Source organism: Homo sapiens, chromosome 3 (genome assembly GCF_000001405.40).
Source record: "Homo sapiens chromosome 3, GRCh38.p14 Primary Assembly".
Classification (NCBI taxonomy): domain Eukaryota; kingdom Metazoa; phylum Chordata; class Mammalia; order Primates; family Hominidae; genus Homo; species Homo sapiens.
In genome coordinates this window covers 161,340,576-161,344,797 of record NC_000003.12, presented here as the reverse complement: position 1 = coordinate 161,344,797, position 4,222 = coordinate 161,340,576, and positions in this window count along the sequence as shown.

Sequence of the window (4,222 nt, the reverse complement as noted above, 5' to 3'; positions counted from 1 at the left end):
TATCTACTTCCAGATTTACTTTTTATTCATATTGCACTAAATATCTAGATGTTACATTGCATATTTCTCCCCAGCTTATCATTTTTTAGTAATCCAATGTGGTAACTGGTGTTAAAACGGTAACAAAAACCTAACATTTATCAAGGGACTTCTCCATGCTGGACACATTTTCCATGTTGGAGTAGGTATAAAGGTCTCCTACTTACAGGTAAAGAGCCTGGAACTTGAAAAAGTTACATTTCTTGTTCAAGGTCGATTAGCTACTAGTAGCTACTAGTAGCATAGCAAGGATGCAAATCCAGGTCAGGACCACACCGGGCCCTGCAAATATTTTGCACACGAAAGCCCAGGGGAGGACAAAATGAACAGATGAAAGTTGATGGGATGAGTGTCACCAACGTTTGAAAGTAGAACTCCATCAAATAGAAGGAAGAGCGTTAGGAGACAGCCAAGGTTGGAGGAATGATAAGCTGAGGTCCCAGCTGTCACCTTTGCTGCTGTACCTAGGATGCTGTGTTCACCCATTTCTATGCTTCCAAGGCCCACATGACTATTTTGAAAGATTGCTTTCACTTCTAAATATTTAAAGAGAATTCTCAGTTAAGCATGAACTTGGATGCATTCCCAGTTCATAATGATTCAACACCCTTATATACATGGACCCCTGCTAAGTACTCCTGGAATTCAATCACAAAGATACTGCATTGACCTTCTCAAAAAATCCTCCATCTAAAAATAAGAGAGTTAAAATAAACATGAATAGACACAGCAAAGCTTAATAAAAGATTATTGCAAAGCACCACCCCAGGATGTCACTTCGAAGGTGTTTCTTCTGAGCAGTCAAAATAATAAATACAGGGTCCAAAAAACATAATCAAAAATAGTTTGGGAAAAAAAACCTATCAATCAGCATGTAGTGGGAAAGAAGAGTAAGCATTACTTTCCCTGCCTGCTAAGTTTATTTTCTAGACATGGAGAGAGACATTCTTTACCTTGACCCCAGTTTGCCTAGATTAGAAACACTTTTTGTGTGTTTTTCCTTTGCTTCCATTACTTGGATATTTCAATGATGTGTACAGAACTTTAAAAACAAGAAAGGCCAAAGGTTCCATGGCTCCGGTGAGCTTGCATTTGTCACTCACCGAACGAGAAATTGTAAAATGTTCTTTCCCTGGTATTGGCCAAGTCAACAGTTACTTTTATCTGCTTGTGCAACAAAAAACACAAAATGTCAAGATATCAGGCAGTTTAAATATCAAGATAGGACTAACCAATCTTCATTAAGTTGTTTGTGGAAAAAAAACACTCATCCACATTTCCTATTTTTTTCTTCTTCCATCACAAATATATTTAGATCCTCTTACTGGGGTGATTCTAGAAGGCAGATTTGTCCTTATTTCTGAATCTCCTGATACAGGGCTTAGCAAATTCCCACCCACGAGGACATTATATAGCTCCTTCTACCTTGTGACCACACAAAAACAAAGAAGCTCAGTGTCTGTATTAGGCCAACCAAAAGATGGACAGCTCCTGACTATGGACTAAAAGAGTAACACTTATTCATTCATTCAATAAATTTATTAAAAGTCAACCATGTATTGATGGGTAGATACAAGGATGGAAAAATGAAAAAATATGTGATGAGGAAAACATAACAATAGAAACTAGATGCTAGGTATACAGGCATTAATTGTCAAATTCTGTTAACATTATGTTTGAAACTTTTAAAAAAATACATAGGGAATAAAAGCCTACCATGTGCTAGTCTTTGGGCTTGGTACTAGAAAATGAAAATGAATGAGACAGAAGCAGAAACATCTCTGGAGTTATTAATGATAGTATCTGGTAGGCAAGATAACGACAACAACAACAAAAATACAAGCAAGCAAAATATTTATGAATTGTGATAAAGTTTAAAAAGAAAACACTAGTGTGCTAGAGAGACAGCGACAGGTGGTTGGGGATGATGAAGTCCTTGGGGCAAAGGGAACATAGCTCTTCCAGCTGCAGTAGAGCAGGATTCAAACGTCTCTAATTGAGGGACACTAAGCAGGGGGGTGATGTGCAAGGAATGTGATGTCATTTATACTGTAAGATGATGGCACTGGCTATGGTGTAAGAGTGGATGGGACAGAGGCATGATTTACCACCATAACCTGTTTTGGGCCATGATCCAAGTCCTCCATTCTTTCTGTAAACTCAAGATGGCATATAAGCATCTGTACCCCCATTGGGGTGTTGGGGTAATCATTCTATCATTCTTCTCCATGCACATTAATAAATTTGTGTGCCATTTCTCCTATTAATCTCCCTTTTGTCAGTTGATTTTTCAGTGAACCTTCAGAGGGCAAAGCGGACATTTTCCCTTGGCTCTTACACTATCAAAATGTAACCCCCTGAAACCCTGCTTATCTCTCGCACCTTACCATGCAAATGCAATACCTTCCTCCCAGTCCTGAGTTATATTTACCTGAGCCAGAGAAAGTACCTGGCTCCAAAGAGGGAAAAAGGGAAGTCCACCACCCACATGTGCATATTCTGTACCTTTCAGGTGTTGGTTGCCTCAGAATTGTGCAGGTGTTCCTTCTGAAGAGCACAAAGAACACAGCACATTGTTTTTTGCACCATGTACTCTTATAAAAGCTCACTAAACGAATGGATTGATGAACAAATCAAGCCCTTTTACAACTCCAGAGTAGAGACATTGAGTCATATTCCAGACATGATTTGTCACTAGCATTTTTATGAAGTCACTCACCTAAGGTGAGTTTTTAAACATCTGGTGAAGGTTTTGAGAGACATTTGTCCCTCTCCTGTATTCTCTTTACCCATTATTCCTTCTCTCCTGCTCCTATATTCTCACAACAATCCCCATGTGAGCATTTTTTAAAAAGGGAGGACATTTTTTTAAAAGTTCATTGATGCATCTGTAAAGATCTACAACTGTTTTCTCCTCAAGTACTAGACCATTGGTTCTCAGCTCTGGCTGTACATTAGAATCGTCTGGGAGCTTTAAAAACTACCAATGCCTGGCCCTGACTAAATTTTCAAACTAAATTGAAACCCTCAGAAGGGAGTGCCCAAATAGTAGTTTTTAAAATTCCCCAGATAATTCTAATATTTGGCCAAGATTGGGAACCACTTTAACAGTCTTTTAGTGAATGCTGATTAAATCACTAAAATCCAGCATCAAGCTGCGTACTCCTCTTACTCCCTCCCACTTGCCAGGCTTGCCGAACATGTCTATATATGATTAAGGCACTGCTCTTTCTCTAGATACAGTCTTGATCATAACAAACAGCGCTTCCTTACTGTTTTTCAGTAAAAGTACTCAACACTCCCATAGAAGCTTGAAGTGCTTAATAGTTAGCATCACACTCCCCAGTGCATTTTGTTCCACATAATGATGTCTTCAATCATTTCATCATGCATCATTTAAGAGCAGTAAAATATCACAAATTATGCTTATGGGCATGAAGCTCTAAAGGACACTCAGTCTGCTGCTGAGGAGCTTGGTGGAGCGCTTTCATTTGCAACCTGAGTACAAGATCGTGTCACAATAATTTGGTTAAGCCAGATAGATAGTACCATCAGCACTACTGCAGAGCATGCAAAGCTTTATGCATTTCACAATAATATCACAATAGGGCACCTCATGGATCAATGAATGTACCTTGCTTCCTTTTGTTTTTAATTACTTGCAGTTATATGTATTCAATGTGATATATCTATACACACATACATAATTTAATATATACATACATATATACATACACATATATATTTGTGTATACGTATATATGCTTCCACCATCTAAGCCTGTACCAATATAATTGGTGGCAGAACTTTTTTTTAACAAACTTATTTGGACCCAGACCTGGCTCCAGCACTGGTGTGGGTTTTTTTTGTTGCTGTTTGTTTGTTTGTTTAAGATTTAGGGGGTACATATGCAGGTTGGTTACACAGACATAAGGATATAATGAATAGATTGCATAATGTGCTTTTTGTGCTTGTATTGAACCCAAACAGTGAACGTAGTACCCAAAAGGTAGTTTTACAACTCTTGCCCCCCTCCCTCCTTCTCTTCTTTTGAAGTCTCCTGTGTCTATTTTTTCTCTCTTTATGTCTGTGTATACCCCTTGTTTAGCTCCCACAGATAAGTGAGAACATGTAATATTTGATTTTCTGTTCCTGCATTAATTCATTTAGGATAATGGCCTCC